This window comes from Homo sapiens, chromosome 22, assembly GCF_000001405.40.
Source record: "Homo sapiens chromosome 22, GRCh38.p14 Primary Assembly".
NCBI lineage: Eukaryota > Metazoa > Chordata > Mammalia > Primates > Hominidae > Homo > Homo sapiens.
Window position 1 is genome coordinate 43,871,738 of NC_000022.11, and position 21,417 is coordinate 43,893,154.

The window sequence follows — 21,417 nt, forward strand, 5'->3', positions numbered from 1 at the left end:
GGTCTATGTGTCTATTTTTATACCAGTACCATGCTGTTTTGGTGACTATGGCCTTATAGTATAGTTTGAAATCATGTAATCTGATGCCTCCAGATTTGTTCTTTTTGCTTAGTCTTGATTTGACTATGTGGGCTCTTTTTTGTTTCCATATGAATTTTAGAATTGTTTTTTCTAGTTCTGTGAAGAATTATGCAGTATTTTGATGGGAATTGCATTGCATTTGTAGACTGTTTTGGCAGTATGGTCATTTTCACAATATTGAGTCTATCCTTCCGCAAACATGGGAGGCATTTCCATTTGCATGTGTGGTCTATGATTTCTTTCAGCATTGTTTTGTAGTTTTCCTTGTAGAGGTCTTCCACCTCCTTGGTTAGGTATATTCCTAAGTTGTTTTTGGTTTTTTTTGCTTTGTTTTGTTTTGTTTTGCAGCTATTGTAAAAGGGGTTGAATTCTTGATTTGATTCTCAGCTTGGTCGCTGTTGGTGTATAGAAGAGCTACTGATTTGTGTACGTTAATTTTGTATCTGGAAACTTTGCTGAATTCTTTTATCAGTTCTAGGAGCTTTTTGAAGGAGTCTTTAGGGTTTTCTAGGTATACAATCATAACATCAGCAAACAGCAACCGTTTGACTTCCTCTTTACCAATTTGGATGCCCTTTATTTCTTTCTCTTGTCTGATTGCTCTGGCTAGGACTTCCAGTACTATGTTGAAGAGAAGTGGTAAGAGTGGGCATTCTTGTCTTGTTCCAGTTCTCAGAAGGAAGAAAAGCTTCTTTAAATCTGATAGGAAATATTTACAATCTATTCTCTCTGAAGCCTGCTATCTGGAGGCTTCATCTGCATGATAAAACATTGGTCTCCACAATCCTTTACCATAACCCAGATATTCCTTTCTATTGATTCCTTGTTATTGATAATAACTCTTTCAAGCAATTGCCAGTCAGAAAATCTTTGAAACTGCCCTCTGACTTGGAAGCCCCCACCCAGCCGCTTCTAGTCTTGCCTTTCCTGACCAATATATATCTTACATGTCTTGATTAATGCCTTATGTCTCCCTAAAATGTATAAAACCAACTTGTGGCCCAACCACATTGGGCACATGTTCTTAGGATCTCCTAAGGGCTGCATCACAGCCCATTGATCACTCATATTTGGCACAGAATAAATCACTTCAAATATTTTACAGCGTTTGACTCTTCATCGATAAGTATCTGTATGTACTATCAAATTTTTAGGATTAAGAACTTGTTGATTATAGAAATGTCAAACACATCCAAAATTAGAGGGAATGGTATAATGAACTTCTATTTTTTTACACATCATTCAAATGACAATGAACTTCTATATACTCATCACCCAGTATCAACTATTATCACTTCATGTTTTATCATCTCCCAAATATCCAGATTGTTTTGAAGCGAACCCCATGTATTCTGTAATTTCATTCATAAATACTTCAGTATGGATCTCCTCTTTGGAGGATAAGGGCTCTTTGAAAACATATTCCCAATACATTAACACATCTAAGAAGTAATGATTTTTCCCTTACATCACTAAATATCCAGTTAGTGTACATGATTAGATTTATGAGTGGGATGCTATGCTCAGAGGAGTTAAGGCCTCTGCCTAGGAATGACTAGTATAGCCAGATGATAAGGTTTGGCTGTGTCCTTACCCAAATCTTGAATTGTAGTTTCCATAATCTCCAAGTGTCATGGGAGGGACCCAGTGGGAGGTAATTGAATCATGGGAGCAGTTACTCCCATACTGCTGTTCTCATGATAGTGAGTGAGTTTTCACAAGATCTGATGGTTTTATAAGGGGCTTTCCCCCTTTTGCTCCACACTTGTCCTTTCTGCTTCCATGTAAAGAGGGATGTGTTTGCTTCCCCTTCTGCCATGATTGTAAGTTTCCTGAAGCCTCCCTAGCCTTGCTGAACTGAGTCTTTGCTTTATAAATAACCCAGTCTTGAGTAGTTCTTTATAGCAGTGTGAGAACAGACTAATACAGTAAATTGGTACCACAGAGAGTGGGGTGCTGCCATAAAGATACCCAAAAATGTGGAAGAGACATTGGAACTGGGTGATAGGCAGAGGTTGGAAGTTTGGAGGGCCAAGAAGAAGACGGGAATATGTAGGAAAGTTTCAAACTTCCTAGAGACTTGTTGGATGGTTTTGGCCAAAATGCTGATAGTGATATGGACAATGAAATCCACGCTGAGGTGGTCTCAGATGGAGATGAAAAACTTCATGGGAACTGGAGCAAAGGTGACTCTTGCCATGCTTTAGCAAAGAGACTGGTGGCATTTTGCCCCTCCCCTAAAGATCTATGGAATTTTGAACTAGAGAGAGATGATTTAAGGTATCTGGTGAAAGAAATTTCTAAACAGCAAAGTGTTCAAGAGGAAGCAGGGCATAAAAGTTTGGAAAATTTGCAGCCTAATGATGTGATAGAAAAACCCCATTTTCTGGGGAGAAATTCAAGCTGGCTACAGAAATTTGCAAAAGTAACAAGGAGCCAAATGTTAGTCATCAAGACAATGGGGAAAATGTCTCCAGGACATGTCAGAGACCTTCCTGGCAGTCCCTCCCATCACAGGTCCGGAGGCCTAGGAGGGAAAAATGGTTTCCTGGGCCAGGTTCAGGGCCCCCCTGCTGTGTGCAGCCTTAGGACTTGGTGCCCTGAGTCCTAGCCACTCCAGCTGTGGCTAAAAGGGGCCAATGTACAGCTCATGCCATTGCTTCAGAGAGTGCAAGCCCCAAGCCTTGGCAGCTTCCACATGGTGTTGGGCCTGCTGGTGCACAGAAGTTAAGAATTGAGGTTTGAGAACCTCCACCTAGATTTCAGAGGATATATGGAAAGGCCTGGATGTTGAGGCAGAAGTCTGCTGCAGGGGTGGAGTCCTCATGGAGAACCTCTGCTAGGACAGTGCAGTAGGGAAATGTGGGGTCAGAGCCCCCACACAGAGTCTCCACTGGGGCACTGCCTAGTGCAGCTGTAGGAAGAGGGCCCCCATCCTCCAGACTGCAGAATGGTAGATCCACCGATAGCTTGCACTGTACGCCTGGAAAAGCCACACACAACACCAGCCTATGAAAGCAGCAAGGAGCAGGGCTGTACCCTGCAAAGCCACAGGGGTGGAGCTGCCCAAGGCCATGGGATGCAAAGCTGCCACCTCTTGCATCAGTGTGCCCTGGATGTGAGGCATAGAGTCAAAGAAGATCATTTTGGAACTTTAAGGTTTAATAACTGCCCCGTTGGATTTTGGACCTGCATGGGGCCTGGAGCCCCTTTGTTTTGGCCAATTTCTCCCATTTGGAATGCATGTATTTACCCGATGCCTGTACCCCCGTTGTATCTAGGAAATAACTAAGTTGATTTTGATTTTGCAGGCTCATAGGCGGAAGGGACTTGCCTTGTCTCAGATGAGACTTTGCACTTGGACTTTTGGGTTAATACTGGAATGAATTAAGACTTTGGAGGACTGTTGGGAAGGCATGATTGTGTTTTGAAATGTGAGCACATGAGATTTGGGAGGGGCCAGGGGTGGAATGATATGGTTTGGCTGTGTCCGCACCCAAATCTCAGCTTGAATTGTAGTTCCCATAATCCACGCATGTCATGGGAGGTACCTGGTGGGAGGTAATTGAATCACGGGAGTGGTTACCTCCATGCTGTCTCATGATAGTGAGTGAGTTCTCATGAGATCTAATGGTTTTGAGAGGGGCTTTTCCCCCTTTTGCTCAGCACTTCTCCTTCCTGAAGCTGTGTGAAGAAGGACATGTTTGCTTCCCCTTCCCCCATAATCGTAATAACTTTCCTGAGGCCTCCCCAGCCCTGCAGAACTGTGAGTCAACTAAACCTCTTTCCCTTTTTTTTATTTTGTTTTTTGTTTTTTTGAGACTGAGAATTGCTCTGTCACCCAGACTGGAGTGGTGCAGTGAAGCGATCTCGGCTCACTGCAACCTCTGCCTCCCAGGTTCAAGCAAGTCTCCTGCCTCAGCCTCCTGAGTAGCTAGGATTACAGGTGCCCACCACCATGCTGAGCTAATTTTTATATTTTAAGTAGAGACAGGATTTCATCATGTTGGCCAGGCTGGTCTCTAACTCCTCACCTCAGGTGATCCACCCACCTCAGCATCCCAAAGTGCTGGGATTACAGGTGTGAGCCACCACGACCGGCCAACCTCTTTCCTTTATAAATTACCCAGTCTCAGATAGTTCATAACAGCATGAGAACAGACTAATACACCAGGACATAGGGCTGGAGCAGACAGCGCTTTACTAGCATCACGTGATTCCAGCTACACATGGGCATATAGCAGCCCCCTTCCCACAGATGACATGGAGCAAGTCTGAAGCACATGGCACTGGCTCAGGCAGGTGGTCATATCAATGGGGTGGTCCCCAAGGACACCAGTGCTCAGGAACCACAGGCCCCAAGCACACTCCTGCCAAGACAGGTCTAGGTCAAGATTAATTGCATTAGAATCTCTGCAGAAGAGCCCTCAGCATCAGTATTTTGACCCAAAATTCTAGTATCCAGACAGCGGAAGCACAGCCTACCCTAGGCTTGAATACAAACTTCACCATTGAATGTATAACCCGAGACAAGGAAGCTCAGCTCTCTTAGCCTCAGATTCCCTGTCAGTTTAATTTACTATGGGTCACCCCCATCCTACATTTGCACTTGCACTTTCCCTTCCAGAATGACTTCCCTGCCAACTCATATTCTAGTATCCACAAAGACCCAGTTCAGAAACTAGTTCCTCTGTGGCTAATCCCGTCCTGAAATCATTTCTCCTTCCCCTGACATGGTGGCATTTATTACACGTGTTATGGGCTCGGAGAGGAGCTGGGGGCTCTTTAGAAACCAGCTATTCCAACCCTTGACTTTCATGACAAGAAATTGAGGAGCTGATCGAGGAAAAGACTTGCTCAGTGTCCTAGAGCAGGTGCACAATGAAGCTGTGATAGTCGGGGATCTTTCTGTTGCCCGGAGCATAGACTCGGGCATTTCTAGATCAGCCACTTGCCTCTCTGAGCTTCAGTTTCCTCACCCATAAAATGGGGAGGATAATGCCCACCTCTCAGGGTTGCAGTGAGATTTAGATGATGGGCTTTGTAAACTGCAAGGTGATGTGTACTTGTGAGGGCTGCATTACCTGTTACCTCCATGGAGACAGCATTAAAGGCACAGGAGCTCCTTGGGGAAGGGATCTGCCTCAGGCAGCAGGAAACACCCAGCACACAACTGGTGCTCAGAAAGCCAGGCAGGGAGGCTTGTAGCAGGCCCAGGAATGTGGCCCACAAACGGGCACCATAGCTGCTCCAGGGCTCCAGGGCTCCAGGGCTCAGAGAGGTTTCTGGCTGGGATACCAGGGGAAAGAAGAGGGTGGAAGACCCAGAACTTTAGCAGACTTGGTGGGAGACCATGATACAGGGGCCAGAGAGAACTCTGACATCACACAGGGCTGGACTCCAGTGGCAACTCTTCTGTGTTTTGCCTGGACTACTCTCCACCCGGGGGCTGATGTGAGGCTCACAGGAGGCCCCCAGTGGGTGACACACCCAGTCTGGTGCCCAGCACGCTGTGAAATGTAATTAACACAGCTTCACTCCCCACTGCCCCTTTCTGAGCAGTCATCTCCATCATTTGATATAGTCTGCAGTAAGCACTTAATTTTTTTTTTTTTTTTTAGACAGAGTCTCACTCTGTCACCCAGGCTAGAGTGCAGTGGCACCATCTCGGCCTGCTGCAACCTCCGCCTCCCATGTTCAAGAAATTCTCGTACCTCAGCCCCCTGAGTAGCTGGGACTACAGGTGCCCGTCACCATGCCTGGATAATTTTGGTATTTTTAATAGAGACGGGGTTTCACCATGTTGGCCAGGCTGGTCTTGAACCCGTGACCTCAAGTGGTCTGTCTGCCTTGGCCTCCTGAAGTGCTGGGATTACAGGTGTGAGCTACCGTGCCCGGCCATGAGCACTTAATTTTATCAAGTAAATATTCCATGAGGCGTGTGTTATCATCTCCATTCTATCCAAGAGTGGCCTGAGGCCTGGAGAGGTGAGGAATTTCCCTGGGTCACATCAATGCTGACTTGTAGAGATGGGACTCAAACCCAGGTCAGCCTGAATTCAGAGCCCAGGATCCCTTTTCTGCTCCATAATGTGGGGCTGTGTCAGGAGGATCCTGGTAACAAGTTGGGGATTCTGACCTGGCTCGGTTCCTAGGCTGTCAGCTGGGCCACCTCTAGGCTCCAGGAAGGGCATGACACCAATGGTAGATGATGGCTCTATAAGCCAGGTCAAGCTCATTCATTCTGAGGCTACATTAATAGAGGCAGTGGTCAGGAGGTGGGAGGTGAAAGACAATTTAGAAACAGTACTGGTCATATCACCTCTGGGGCACTGCTGGACTCCATGCTCCCAGAAGGTTGTGAACAAACTCAGGGTATGGGGCTGGAGCTCCCTGAACAGCATCACTGGGTTGGCGACGTCCCTGAGGAGTGGTTGTAAGGCGTGAGCTGCTCACCATGGAGAAGAGTGACCTCAGAAGATCAACACCCTTCGTCCCCTCTCTCCAGGCAGGCAGAGCAAGCAGAGTCTGTGGGTCCAGGGTGCAGAGCTGGGATCCATGGGGAAGACGCAGGCAGTTGGATTTTAGCACCACGTGAGCAAAAATCTAAGAGTTAAATAAGATAAAAACCAGGGAAGTGCTTAAAAACAATGAAGTCCTGCCAGGGATGCTTGTTAACGGACTCTGCCATTGTCAAGTTGCCAGCAGATAACTTTGACGCATAAGCCACAAATAATAGAGACCAAAGAGACGTTTTCAGAGCAGAATGTTGTAAGCAATTGAGATATTCAACCATCTGAGCCAGAAACATTTCCCCACACGCTGCTTGGCAAAGGAGGGTGATGGAGAGGGAGGTGGGAGGGGCCAACTATCTTTCCCCGGTCTAAGTCACAAAGCAAAGCAATGGGGATAAAGCACAGGTCAAAGCCCCTGCTATGTAAAGAACTGACGAGGGAGGGGTGATCAAGGGAGGCTGAGTGCCTGTGGGCATGGAGGCCTGTGTCCGTGACAAGGGACAAAGGACAGGGAGCAAGAATGTTCCTAAAGGCCTCTAAATCCTTCACCTGGTGACCCAGGTGGCCAGGTCTCCCCTCTGCACTGGGGGAGGAAATCCCGAACCCAGCTGCTGAGGGTGGGGGCAGTGCATAGAGCATTCCAGCTCTGCAGACAGTGTTGTGGGAGCCGCCGCGGACCACCTGGCTCCAAGTGGGACAGCCTTTTCCTGCTGCAGGGACAGCGTCCGTACCTGCCCCCACCCAGGAGATGGCCAGAGGGGCAGAGTCCTGCTCAGACCCAGGGGGTCCTGGAGGGAAGGGGACAGCCTCCTGCATGCTCACTGTCTGCCCCTTCCTCCTCCTTTTCCAATCCCACTGCAGCACTGGGCCCTCCTTTCCTCTGCTTGCTCCCTTTTCTCACATTTGCTCCCCAAAACCAAACTCCTCGCCATGCCCCAACAGTGCCCTCCTGACCCAGCCCCTGCCTGCCCTGCTCCCCCCGACCCCCACCCACTGCCGGCCCTTCCCTCCTTCAGTCTCACCCCAGGGCCTTTGCACCTGCCATTGCCTTCACCTGCAAAACCCAGCCTCTCATCCTCAGTCTCAGCTCAGTTGTCACCTCAGGAAGGCCTTCCTGGGCCACCCGGGCCAATGTTGCTCTCACCCCCACCCTGCCTCACTCTCACACGATCTTGTTTTCTTCACGGCCCCACCACTCCTGGAAAAATCTCATATTTACATTTTCCCGTTTGTTGTTCAGCATCTGCTCCCGCACGCCCACCAGAATGTAAGGTTTCTTCAAGGCAGTGTCTCCAGGGCCTATAACTCACTAAGCATAAGCTGATAAATGAATGAAAGAATGAATGAGTGGCTTATTGTCTCTTTATTTATTTAGAGACAGGGGCTCACTTTGTTGCCTGGGCTGGGGTGCAGTGGCGTGATCACGGTTCACTGCAGCCTCGACCTCCTGGGCTCAAATGATCCTCCATCCTCAGCCTCCCAAGTAGCCAGGACCACAGGCATGCACCACCATGCCCAGCTAAGTTTTTATTATTTTTTTTAGAGACAGGGTCTTGCTATGCTGCCCAGGCTGGTCATTTTTCTCTTTAGTTCCCACGTGTATTCCTTTGCTTCCCGTTCTCACTCACGCCTCCATCTCTCTAACCTCCCCATCTCCACTGAGGCTGAGCATTTCCTCAGGGCCTGGCCGGGGGCACAGCATGGGTCCCGTGCTGCCAATGGGGAGAGCAGTGACTCGTGGAGAGGCCAGAGGCCTGGTGTCCCTGGCATCCTCTCTGCCCCAGGTACAGGCACAGCTACGTCACAAACCTTCTGCAGGAATGAGGCTGTGGGGATAGCAGGGGCCACTGGGCCCAACAGAAGCACCCACAGCTGGGATCCTGAAAAGACCTGGACCCCCCTCTCCTCCTCCTCCTGCTTCCTGCCAGGGCCTTCCACCCTCTGGACCTGATAGGAATTCAGAAGTCAAGGTTTCCTGAGTGGGGTAGATGCCGGGGGTCACCCCCAAGGGCCGCTGCAGGACTGAGAAAGTCTGGGGGGAGCACCCCCACCCCATCATCTCAGTTGGCTCCTCTGGTCTCTGACGCGGGCATCAGGCACTTTCTCAATCTTCTGTGAGGTGCTCCGTGGGCAGCTCCACGGCAGAACAGGAGCCCCTCTCCCCAGCAATGCTGCCCTCCTAGTCCCCCCGTGGAAATTCTGAAAGTAAGACATGTGTCTCTGTGGCTGTCCTCCTTTCTCTCCCTGATGAGACGGGGCAAGAGGGAGGGCAGGTGACCTGGGTACACAGTGACCGGGGACATGCTGACAGGCTGCGCCCCAAGGAACGGGCTCCAAGCTGCAGGGTCTCCACGGAGATTGGCAGGGCCTCTTCCCGCTGGGGCAGATGTGGGCACACAGGACAAAGGCCAGAGCAGGAATCAAGGGACACCAGTCACTGGGCTGGCCCTGCTCGGCCCCCTCAGGCCTGGTGGGTGGGCCCGAGCTCCTCTCTATGAGGAGCTATCTGGGGTTGGAGGGGGCTTGTTTCCAGGACGCGAGTGGCCGGAGGGCTGTGGAGGGAGGAGAAGCCACGGGTAAATGCCTGGGGCTCGGGAAGGGTAGGTGAAACCACGTGGGTGCAGGCGCAGCCACAGTGAACCCAGGTCACTCTTCCCCCAAATCCTGCTCTGAGGGAGGACATGTGGACCTCAGTGTGGCTGAGCTGGAAGTGTCAGGGAGGTCCTGGGATGGCCACTCCCCAGAGAACTGCACTGATGTCCCTGCTAAACAGATAACTGTCGAGTGGGTGGGGGAGGGCCACACAGGACCCCCCAAGTCTGGAGGGCTGGTCAGAGAAGAGGGACCAGGCCACTGCAGGCCAGACCACACACAGGGCCAGCCTCGTCCAAGGTCACGTGGGGACGTCTGGAACAATGGCAGGAGGACTGGCAGGGAGCTGGTGAAGCCGCAAGAGGCACCTGTCCCATGGGTGGCCCAGTGACTGCACCTGGCAGGTCATGCAGACTGACCAAGGTGACTGTCATAGAGCGTCTAGCACAGGTCGGGCGCACAGCAGTGACCAACACACGTGCCAATGGCTGCATGAGTAGGCCAGAGGGACGCAGGTAAGCAGGTGGGCAGGCAGATGGCATGGCCGGCCTACCCAGGGTCCAGGGAAGCAGCTGGTGCGTTCCCCCCAGCACAGCCACCCCCTCTCCATCCCTGCCCTCTGCCCACCTCACCTGATGGGCCCAAGGAGCTGGGCCTTGGTCCTGGAGAAAACCTCGAGGGCCATGTTCCTCAGCAGGCCCTGCATCCACCACAAGTCCGCCGGCACATCGGGCAGCCACACCACCAACCTGGAGGAAGGGGCAGGTCAGCTTTGCCCAGGTGAGCCTGGGGTGTGGCCCCACCAAGCCCACCCTCCCCATAGGCCCAGAGCACAGCCGGGAGCCCTGCTCCTGAGGGCTGCCCAGGTTAGGGAAGAAGGGCCAGCAGCGTTGGCCACTGTTGCAGAGCAGGTCAGAGCCACAGGGACACCTGCAGGGTTGGAAAGATCCAAAATGGACTTTGAACTTGGCAGAGGTGGCCAGGCCTTAGGTTCCTTGACTCCAGAGGAAACAAGTAGGAAGCGCAGGGAGGGAGAGGGTGGACCTTTGGGGTCAGGCTGGCTTGAGGCTACAGCCCAGCCTCCCTGCCCATCAGCTGGGTGACCTGCACAGGTCAGGGAACCTGTCAAATGAGGACAGTCACCTCACCCATAGTTCCTAATGTCCTCCTTATCGCCGTCCATTTCTCTCTCTTCTCTCCCAGCTAGCCCCTGCCCTCCCTACCCCATGCCCCTTCGTCCACTCTCCTCTCAGAAGCTGCTGGCCCTCCGAAAACAGCTGACAGAGCCCCCTCTTGCTCAAGATGTCCCCGTGGTTCCCCACTGCCTCCATGATGGAGCCAGCCCCAGATTCAGGGTCCTTGGAACTGCGTGTTATCCCAGCACAGAGGAGAGACAGCATGAGTCTGTCTGCAGAGCCACAGCCCTGTGGGGCCAGGCCTGAGAAAGCCCTGGCCGGACACCTCAGACACTGGCCACTGCAGGGCCTCAACCTGCACCACAGCACCCTTGGAGGGGCCCCTACACCAGACCTCAAACTAGGCATGCAGTCCAGAGAGTGTGGTGTGACGGCAAGACATAAGCTGGACTGTCACCTCCCTTGCTCTGGACCTCCTGCCTCTATTAATGCAACCTATGTGTTGAACATATGTATTGTGAAATATGCCAAGAGTGAACTTCCCTGTGGTCTGGGCAGGCTCCCCTTTGGGGCTCACACAATGAGTTTCTTTTTTTAACTGAAAACTGGACTTTACATTTATACTTTTGGATTTCAACTTGTGGTTTCCGTAAACAGCTCAGCGTGAGGAGAATCTGTCGGTAGAAAGCTCTCTCCTGGGTTTGGGCCACTGGCAATTTAAACAGCAGGGCTGACCCAGTCATTAACTCAACATTGAGCAGGACAGAGACCTGTGGTTCACCATCATAGACCTTCTTCCAGAGAATTTTTGAAAATACAGGTCCCCCCATGACACCTCCCTGCTTAAACCCTTCCCAGCCTTTCCACCACTCTCCAGACAAAGACCACGCTCAGCTGGCTCCAGAGCTCAGTGCGTCTGCCCCACCAGCCTCCCCTGCGTCGTGTACGGCACACTCCCTGAGGCTCCAGCTTTACTGGCCTCCCTTCCTGCTCCTCGAATGGGCCTTTCTCCCTCCTGCCTCTGGATCTTTGCACATGCTGTTCCATCTGCCGAGAACATTCTCCTTGTCCTCTTTGCCTGGTGGACGCTGACTCATCCTTCAGATTATAGCCTAAGAGTCATCTCCTCCGGGCAGCCTTCCCTGGCCAGAGAGTCCCTAGATTGAGCTGTGCAGCTGGAAGCCAGTGTAGACCTCTCCCAGGGAACCTCTAGGTGGCGCTGTAGTTACAGGTGAGTGTGTGATAATTTGTAGGTCGTGAGCTCCACCAGGCCAGGAGCTGGGTCTGCGTCGGGGCTGCTTCCATGGCCCCCAGCCAGGCCTTGGCCCCTGAGAGGTCCTCAGCAACTGCTGGTGGGATGAATGAACAACTGATGCAGACGGGCACATTAACCAGCAAGTCAGAATGTTACTGAGAGCCTAACCACAGCCGGCCTGGCTTGGAAGGGGCTTGTTTTACAGAAAAGGAACCTGTAGCGGTGGCTCATGCCTGTCATCCCAGCACTTTGGGAGGGCGAGGCGGGCGGATTGCCTGAGCTCAGGAGTTTGCCACCAGCCTGGGCAACAAGGTGAAATCCTGCCTCTACTAAAATACAAAACAATTAGCCGGGCGTGGCGGTGGGCACCTGTGGTCCCAGCTACTTAGGAGGCTGAGGCAGGAGAATCGCTTGAACCTGGGAGGCAGAGGTTGCAGTGAGCCAAGATCATGCCATTGCACTCCAGCCTGGGCAATAGAGTGAGACTCTGTCAGAAAAAAAAAAAGAAAAGAAAAGAAAGAAAAGAGAAGAGAAAAGAAACCTGTAGCCCAGAGAGGTCAAGAGACTCAGACCCAGCCACACAGCCAACCTGAGATTCTGATGGGTGGAGCAATGGTCAAAGGTCACGGAGACAGTGTAGGGCCCAGGAGGCCGACCAGGAAGCCCCCGACTTCCAATCCTACCCACCATGCCACTTCTCCACCAGTCTCATTTTGCAGAGGAGATCACAGAGGCTCTGAGTCATGCAGTCAACACCACACAGTGTGGGGACACCAGCCGGGCTCCCCCCACCCCGCCGAGCCCTACCCACCCAGTGTGCCAGCCGCCCCTCCTGCCATGGGCACCAGTCTCCGCCACAAGCCAGGCCCTTCCCAGGCCCCCTGGCCGAGCCTTACCTTCTGCTGCGGAAGTAGATGTACTCGAAGGGCAGTGTGCAGGGTAGCAGCAGGTACGTCAGCACCTGTCCAGGCCCCGAGTGCCAGAAGCGGGCCCACCGGCTGGGATCCCTCGTACATGCTTTCTTCAGTGCTGCAAGAGAAGCCCTGGCATGGCCCTGCCCACCTGAAGTCTGTGGGCCAGCAACCTGAGCCCCCCCATTTCACACAGTAAGAGACTGCACCCCCTCCACCTTCTGCAGATGAAGAAGCAACACTGAGCAAGCCCCCACCACAGGCCAGCAGGTAGCTCTGCGCTCATCGTTGTCCGTGAGACAAGGGGTGTATGCCCTCTCGTAGATGAGGAGACTGAGGTTCAGAGTGGAGAAGTGACTTGCCTAAGGACCATCAACAGGAAGTGGCAGGGCCAGGATGGACTTGAGGACTCTCAGGCTCCTGAGTTGTTTCTACCTCTTCTGCCCCTCTAGAAAGTCTGTGGCCTGCTAGGCTGGGACAGATGCTCTCACCACACTCTCTCATAACAGTAACACGACAGTGTTATTAATAACCACAGCCACAACTATGACCGCAGCAACCATTTCCTGGGTGCTCTATTCACTGACCTGACCAGAGTGGAAGGGACCAGCATCTGGGCTGGGACAGAGCCGGAGCCCAAATCCCAGCCTCCAGACACAGCCCAGGCCACAGCTCAGGCCACCACGTCCACTCTGGCCACTGCCCTCTGGAGACGGAGGATTACAAGGATTCACAGATAGCACAGGCCAGAGACCCTGCTCCACATCCACCTGCCGAGTGTCCTAGGACGAGTCCTAGCTTCCTTCTCCATAAACTGGGGATCCCAGCAGGACATTCCTCCCTGGGCAGGCAGGTGAGGATTAGAGATGAGATTCACAATTCCCTTCCCAAATGGCGAGGGCGCAGCGCCCAGGAGTTGGTGCTCCACCCGAGGCAGCTCTCTGGTGCCCCCGTGTGGCTACAGGTACACTGCCGGGTTCCAGAATCCCAAGCTTGGACCTCAGGGGTTCCGCACAGGTCCCCGCCCATTTCTGCACGTCCTCGTGTGGTCTCCGGCATGGAAAGGGGCCCCCTTCCTCATCCCCTTGCCCACCCCACTCTCCCTGATCTGGCCTCGACCGCCATCCCTCTCCTCCCAGCCTCCCACCCCTTCAGCCTCTTCCCACCCAGCTGGGTCCACCACCCCCTCCCGCCCACCTCACTTGCTCCTCCCACAGCTTTTGAGACCACCTGCCCACCCTGCCAGCCTCCCAAGCTCACCTCTGCTGCCTGTCCCTCATGCCGCAGCCACAGGGACCTCCTGGCTGTCCCTCACCAACCCCAGGACCTTTGCACGTGCCATGCCCTCTCCCCGATGCTCTTCTGCCTCTTGGCCTGGCCAACATCTCTTTTCCAGCTTCACTTAGATGCTGCTCAAAGTCACCCCCCACCATCGTTACATGTGCCTGTGGGACTCTGTACTTTCCTGTTGTTGCAGTTGTGACATTTAGTCACACAGCGGGCGGGCAGACTAAATGGTTCCGAGTAGAACCCCTAGTTCTGCCATTTGCTACTGTGTGACCTTGGGCAAGTCGCTTAACTTCTCTGTGCTATGGTTTCCTCATCTGTACAATGAGAACAATTCTGTACTATCCTCAGATGGTTGTTGGAAGGATGAAATGAGTTCATTTTCATCTGGGGAATCCAGAACCCTCTGTGTGTGCCTCTCCTATGTCTGTCAACACTCCCGCCCTTTCCGGGGCAGTGGGCAAAGACCTGGCTTTCGCAGGCACAGGCTTGGGTTCAAATCCCCTAGTTGCAGGCTCTGAGCCCTTGGTGAGTCCCTTCCTTTCTCTGAGGTTTGGTTTCCTCATCAGTGAAGTGGGTACGAATAATGCCTAGGCCCAGGGTTGTGGGGAAGAATGAACGATGCCACATGTGAAAAGCCCATAGTACCACACTTGGCATTTAGTAGGTGCTCAGTAAATGAGTCCTGTCCTCTTCCAGACCACGAGTGCCTTCAAGGCAGGGTCCCTGAGCCCGGGCCCCTGAGTGCAGGGCCCTGGTAGGTGAGCAAATGCAGGTAGAGTCCCTACCAGCCTCCAGCTCTGGTGAGAGCTGCTCAAAGTTGGGTACATCCTTGACTTGCACATGGGGCACTTTCCAGTTGAGAGACAGGCCCCCCTTCCAGCGTTGGTCACAGCCAGCATCCCAGTTTCCGTCAGCCGGGGCTGGGGGTTCCTTAGACACCAGCGTCCATAGCACTGGTTCCTTGGTGAGTCCTGGGTCAGGGGAAGGGAGAGGATAAGTCAAGCATCTGAGCCTCCCCAAGGCGCCCCATGCTGCCCACATCCCTCAGAGCCCAAACCCAGTTCTGGGGATCCACTGTGCTGTGGGACGGACCCACAGCTTATTCCGGATGACTCCCTTCTGCCTTCCCCTGGCCCTGCTCTGCCCTGCTCCCTGCCCACTTTCGAGTGGCTCATCAGAGCCCAGACCCCAAAGACACAATCCAGAGTTCGAATTCTGGCTCCACCACCTGCAAGCTATGTGACCCAATGCCCTTTGCCTCAGTTTCCCTCTCTGTAAAAAAGGAAAAGTAAGACCTGCTTTATACAGTTACTCTGAGAATTAAACAAGATAAATACATAAAGCTTAAGCTCACGTCTGGGCACATATTAAGCGCTCGCCAAATGCCTCCTGATTGTGTGTTTTTGGTTGTAACGTAGGACTTGAGCACATGAGTTCTGGAGCCAGGTGGCCTGTGTCTGAATGTCTATTGCACCAATTTGAAGAGCTCTGTCCTGTGGATGATGTTCAGGCTCTCCAGCCCAGACCTCTCTGGCACACCCACTGCCCCATGAACACACACACACACACACACACCCCTCCTGCCATATTGAGTTATGTGCCCTCAAGGTGCCTGCCTCTGTCCCTTCTCTCTTGTTTTTCCCTCTGCCTAGAATGCCCTCTTCTTTTGCTGGAATCTTCAATTTTGCTGGTGTCTTCATAACTAGTCAAAACCCAGCTTATCTGTCACTGCCTCCAGGAAGCCCTCCTTGCCTACCCCCAACCCCCAGGCTGAGTCCAATGCCTCCTCTGGACTCCCACAGCCTTGAGCATCCCTCTGTCACTACACCCATCTCCCTGGGTTGTCTCTCTCTGAGTCTGTCCCCCTGTACCAGGCTGCGGGCTGCTCAACAGTGGAACTTGTATGTGATTCTTCTCTGAGTCCCCAGTACTCAGCTCAGGTCCAGCACAGAGCAGATGATGAGGAAGAGACTGAGTTAGCCCATGTCCCTAGCAGCTCAAAGGCCCAAGAGGCAGGGTCTACCTGGCACCATGTGGGACATGATCCCCAGCCACTGTGGGACTGCCACCTACCACGTCTCTCCAGGAACCTCAGGGCATCCAGGTAGCCTTGTCTGCAGTTGTCGGCCACTACCTGCCAACACACAGGGCAAGGGTGAGATGGGCAAGGCCTGGACCTACCCCTCGAGTGGATGTCACAGGCCAGAGACTTATCTTCAACTGGAAATAGTCCCAGCCCAGCCTATTCTCCCCAAGTGACCATTCAACAGGGCTCAGGGCAGGAGCCTGGGCAGGACCTTAGCACTGGGCAGGAGGGGCCAGAGGCCTGCAGGCAGAACAGATCTGCTTGGCTAGTTCTGTCCCTGCAGGACCATTGCATCTCCCCCCTGAGACACCCTGGCTGCTCTTGCCCCAGCCCCTCCCCTCTCTTGCCTCAGTTTCTGTCTCTGGAAAATGGGATAACAAGGCCTGGGATGGCTGGGACTTTGTCTGGCCCCTTGTAGGGCAGTGGATGGGGGTTCCCTTTGCCCCTTCGATGTTTACTTCCAGTACCAGACTGAGGTGGGCTGAGGAACCAGGAGCCCCACTTGCCTGTCTGATTAAAGTCCCACTGGTGGCAAAGGGTGCTGTCCCCCTCACATCCTTGCTGTGAGACTTCAGCATGGCAGTGCCAACTCTCTGAGTGCCTCAGCTTCCTTATCTAGAAAATGGGGCTGGGGTTTCCTGCCCGCCCAGGGGTGTGGGGAGTACCGGAGTAAATGAACATGACTTTGTCTCGTGACTTAGAAAGCACTACACAAACCTGAGAGGTAGAAGGGACAAGGAAGAGCCAGGATGTGGATGGGGCAGAGGAGTGTGTGTGTGTGTGTGTGTGTGTGTGTGTGTGTGTGTGTTTCTTTCTTTCCTTCTTTTTTTTTTTTTTTTTTTTTTTTTTGAGATGGAGTCTCACTCTGTCACCCAGGCTAGAGTGTAATGGCACTATCTCGGCTCACTGCAATCTCCACCTCCCAGGTTCAAGCAATTCTCTTGCTTCAGCTTCCTGAGTAGCTGGAATTACAGGCATGCGCCACCATGCCCAGCTAATTTTTGTATTTTTAGTAGACACAGGGTTTCACCATATTGGCCAGGTTGGTCTTAAACTCCTGACCTTAAGTGATCTGCCAGCCTTGGCCTCCCAAAGTGCTGGGATTATAGGCATGAGCCACCACACCCGGCCAGGAGGAGTATATTTCAATAGTTGTCAAATTATCTGTTTTCCAGAAATACCAAGGGGTAAAAAAACGCTTCCTTCATTTTTTTCTTTGCATTTGTGCCTTGCCTCTACAATGGATGGTCAATTTGGCCACAGTCAAGGACGGTGGTCAAGAGCATGGGCCTGAGCCAGCTCTAGGTCTGAATCCTGGTTTTGCTGCTTCCAGTCTGTGTGACTTTGAACAAGTTGCTTAACCTCTCTGAACCATAGCATCCTCCCCTGAGAAATGGAAATGATAACGGTACCTGCCTACAGACCCTGGCCCAGAGGAGCACAGGCAAAGGCCCTGCTCAAAGGCCAGCTAAGCAGAGTTGGCGTGAGTGTGTCCCATTGACATGGGGCCAGTCCTCATTCATCACTGGCTCAGGGCAGCAAGAACAGTAAGGACACAACTGAACCCCAAGCTTAGGATTCAGGTGTTTGGCTGTGAGACTCGGGACATGTGTTGTAACTGCCTTCAGGCTCGGGGGGCAGTGGGGGTTAGGAGCACACAGAGTCTGACTCACGGGGCCCTTGACCTTGGCCAAGCCTCTAACACCATCACAGGGCCAGACCTACCTCGAGGCTGGGGGGTATGAGACATATGAGCCCCAGGAAGAAGTTCTCAGTGGAGATTTGGAAGCTGAAGTTGAAGACGTTCAGCTCATGCAGGTTGGGGGAGGTGCTCTGGGGGCAGATGTCCACTGTCCCATGGAAGGGCGACACCGTGATGGTGGAGGGGCAGTCTGCAAAGGGCAAGTTGTTGCTCAGAGCCCCATCGATGTAGCGCTGCAATTTGTGGGGAGCAGGTGGGTGGTGCTGCCCTCTCAGAGGGCCTCCCACACTGGCTGCAGCCGGTGACCCTCCAGCTGTCCCTGAGTCACCAGGGCCACTCCAGCCCAGGAGGCTGAACGCCCCCCAGGAGCAGGGGGAGGGCCTGGCACACAGTAGGTGCTCAAGGAGCGCTGGTTTCCTCCACCCAAGCACCTCTCCACGGTGTGCACCCCAGGCTGCCCAGAGCACAGAACGGGGTTCCAGAGTGCACTCACCTCCCCTCTGAACTCGGGGGGGATCAGCCCGCAGTAGAAAGGAAAGTATAAGGTGCAGACCAAGGCCTAGGAAGAGAAGAGTCAGCAGGAACACAACTGTGCATGCTTCTTGCATTCAGAACCTTCCTAGGCACGGTTTCTAATCCCAACAGCCTGCAAAGGAGGTGTCATCAGTCCCACGTCCAGATGAGGGAGCTGAGGCATCACCTCCCAGCCAAGCTCTCCAAGGGAAGCAGGGATTGGAGCACCTCTGTCTTGACACCCACCTCCTCTTTCTGTGGGTGTGCAGGGAAGGAGGCCAGGTGCAGGCTCCTGAGGAAGCCAGCCGGGGACCCCAAAGAGTGGCCCAGACTCCTTGCCTGTGTAGCAGTTGGGATGGGGCCTGGCACATAGTAGGTGCTCAGTACACATTAGCTGCCGTGACTGTTATCAGTCTGTGGGAACAAAACTGTCACCTGCATCTCCATCTGGTCAGGGCCAGGATGGGTTCTGCACCTCCCAGAGAGAGTTGGGACGTTTCCAAGGGTTCCATGAGACAAAGTCCTATATTCAAAAGTTTGCAAGCTCTGGGTTGGTGGTTCTCAACTAGGAGTGATTTTCTCCCCTACAGGACACCTAACAATGTCAGAGACATTTTTGGTTGTCACACTGTGTGCCTGCACTTGAGCGTGCGCGTACACACTATTGGCAAATAATAGTGTCAGGGTGTATGTGAAGCATCTTTTTTAGACATCCTATTTCATTTCAATACTGGATGGTTCCTTACCTCCTTACTTGGAGATGAGTTCATTATCGATACCGCCTGCCCCCCAGAACCACTGAGCATAGAAGCCCCAGGAAGGCAAGGGTTTCTGTCTGTTTTGCTCCCTGTTACAGTCACAGTGCCTAGAATAGTGACTGGCACATAATAGGTGTTCAATAAATGTCAACCCACCGCCAAAAAGCGGCGGGAGGATGGAGTGGGGTGGAGGCTGGGGCTAGCCAGCTGCCCTCTGGAAAGAGCAGTCCCTGTGGGGGCCCTGACTCAGCAGCCTGACTCTGCCGGGCCCCAGCCAGACCCTTCTGTGTGCAGCAACCTGGAAAGTCTCCAGACCCACCCTGCCGACCCTCTCTGGGCCTCAGTTTCCTCACCTACAAACAGGTCCACCCGCCCTCCCTCCTTCCGCCCCTGCAGAAACGTCTGACGGGGAAGTACCTGGATGTCACTCTGGACTAGATGGAGCCCGCCCACCAGCCAAGCCCTGGGCACCCCCCGCCCCACACCTGGATGAGCTCATCGCAGGTGGCGAAGTCAGTGACCAAGAAGTTGCGTCCGTCAGGCCAGCGGGTCAGCGAAATGCCCAGCCGCTGGGAGGCCAGGACGTGGGCGTCGGGGGGCAGAGCATCCTGCAGCTGCTGCTTGACGTGCTCGATGGGCGCGTAGGCCGGGTGCAGGATGCTTAGGCTCAGCCGCTCCAACTGCCCAACCATGCCCAGGAGGTGGGAGCAGCAGAAGTCTGCAGTGGGGGCAGGGAAAGGGAGACCTCAGCGCCCAGGGATCCTGCCAGTCCCTCCACACCCCCACTGCCCTCCTAGGTGCAGTGGGAGCGGGGTCCTCCCCACTCCAGCTCAGAATTTCTGGGCTCGGCCCCGGATTCAAATGATCCGTTCACCTTTTCACTTTTTGCCCCGCCGACCTGGGAAACAGAGTTTCTGGCTCTGAGCCACGATCCCTCCTCTGCAAATGGGGGTCACCTAGTCCCCAGCACTCGGTGTTCTCATGGGATTAAATGAGGCTGTGCCGGGGGTAGAGGGCGCAGAGCACAGCGCCAGGCACCAGCGTCTCTGGGCTCGATCCGCTTTCATTAAGCTGTCCCCGCCCCTTTTCGCCCCCGCGGTCCGGGACTCACCGACCGACTTGCCGCAGACGATGCTGACTGCGTTGAGCGCCCCAGACGAGGAACCGTAGATGCGGCGGGCGCCCTGGAGGAGGCGCGGGGCTCGCTGGCGCAGGCATTCGGTGGCGCCCACGTGGTGGGCGCCCAGGTAGCCGGCGCCGGAGAAGGACAGGTTCCATCTGCCCTCCTCCTCTAAGAAGCCCATGGCGGGTGGACCGGGCGGGGTGATCGGGACGAGGAAGGGTCACTCCGTGACCCGGGATAGGGCCGGGATGCAGCCTTGGACGGGGCTGGGCCCAAATGTGGGCTCTGGAGGGAGCCGGGCTGGGGCTGGTGCTGGTGCTCCCTGCGCCGCCCCCGGGCTGCGTCACCTGCGCCCCAGCCAATGAAGTCCCCGGGTCGCGATCAGCCCCCACTCCAGTTGTGCGCCAGGTGTGCCCCAGAAGTGCCCGCGCGCTGTGTATACGCTGGCGCCGCCCCCACGCGCCCGCCCCGGATCCGCATCGGGTCATAGATTTCTGGGTGACACGGCAGGGGAGTGGGACCAAATCTTGCCTGATCTCTGGTAGTCTGGGCAGATGTTATTCCAGTCCTCATTACGCAAATGAGGCAACTGAGGCGCAGCCCAGGATGGTGACAGCCAGGAAGTGGCAGAGTCGGACCCAGGACACCTGGTCTTTGGGGTCAAACCAGGCTTAAGTCCGCAGCTGTGCTGGTTCCAGGGAGGGACTTGAGGGAAAGAGAGGTCTCGGGGCCAGCCTCCGCTCCAGCCAGCACCACTGCACCTTCCCCTGGCTCACCCGCTCTCCAAGCCTCACCTACCACTACAGCCTGCTCAAACATCCCACCTCCTCCCTCCTCCCCTAATCAATCCATTGGAAAGTGCTTTATAAACTGCAAAGCTCCAAGAACTTGGGTTTGTAGTGATTAGGGCTGTCTGGGCTCCAATTCTGGCTCCAGAATGTCTTGGCTGGTGACCCTGGATAATTTAACTGATCTGTGCCTCAGTTTTCTCATCCATCAAGTGGGGATAATAACATTACTTACTCCATAGGACCGGTAAGGATTAGAGTTAATGCAAGTAACGTGTTTGGAATAGCGCCCGGCACTGGATAAGCACACAAACAATGGTTACTACGGTGATTGTTTTAATCAAGTGGCGCACAATCAATGGCAACCGCTATGTTATTTATTTATTTATTTAATTTTGAGGCAGAGTCTCACTCTGTCACCCAGGCTGGGGTGCAGTGGCACAATCTCGGCTTACTGCAACCACCACCTCCCAGGTTCAAGCAATTATCCTGCCTCAGCCTCCCAAGTAGCTGGGACTACAGGCACGCACCACCACGCCCAGCTAATTTTTGTTATTTTCGGTAGAGACAGGGTTTCACCATGCTGCTCAGGCTGGTCTCGAACTCCTGGCCTCAGATGATCTGCCCACCTCAGCCTCCCAAAGTGCTGGGATTACAGGCAGGAGCC

At 53.7% G+C, this 21,417-nt stretch overlaps 1 protein-coding gene across 4 annotated transcripts, besides 1 other annotated feature; it reads right to left on the reverse strand.

The window, feature by feature from the left end:
* Positions 1-7,940: 7,940 nt before the first annotated feature.
* On the reverse strand, positions 7,941-20,276 carry PNPLA5 (patatin like domain 5, triacylglycerol lipase). 4 transcript variants are annotated; one of them, NM_138814.4, is made up of 9 exons: positions 19,951-20,276; positions 19,325-19,557; positions 18,062-18,127; positions 17,592-17,801; positions 15,854-15,914; positions 14,566-14,751; positions 12,476-12,608; positions 9,821-9,937; positions 7,941-9,148 (listed from the first exon to the last, which is right to left on the reverse strand). In NM_138814.4, exons 1-9 carry the CDS (start codon positions 20,141-20,143, stop codon positions 9,058-9,060), a joined length of 1,290 nt encoding a protein of 429 aa, NP_620169.1. In that variant the 5' UTR covers positions 20,144-20,276; the 3' UTR covers positions 7,941-9,057. The 4 variants fall into 4 exon arrangements, with proteins under 4 accessions (NP_620169.1, NP_001358339.1, NP_001171146.1 ...); NM_001371410.1 differs by having other exon boundaries at positions 17,592-17,758; positions 18,062-18,214; NM_001177675.2 differs by lacking the exons at positions 18,062-18,127; positions 19,325-19,557 and having other exon boundaries at positions 17,592-17,758.
* Positions 11,486-12,216: an enhancer, noted in NCBI's record as "H3K4me1 hESC enhancer chr22:44279103-44279833 (GRCh37/hg19 assembly coordinates)". NCBI's record gives its function as "activates a minimal SCP1, AML or CMV promoter by ChIP-STARR-seq in naive H9 embryonic stem cells {active_cell/tissue: H9 hESC(naive)}" and the evidence as "EXISTENCE:reporter gene assay evidence [ECO:0000049][PMID:30033119]".
* Positions 20,277-21,417: the final 1,141 nt, after the last annotated feature.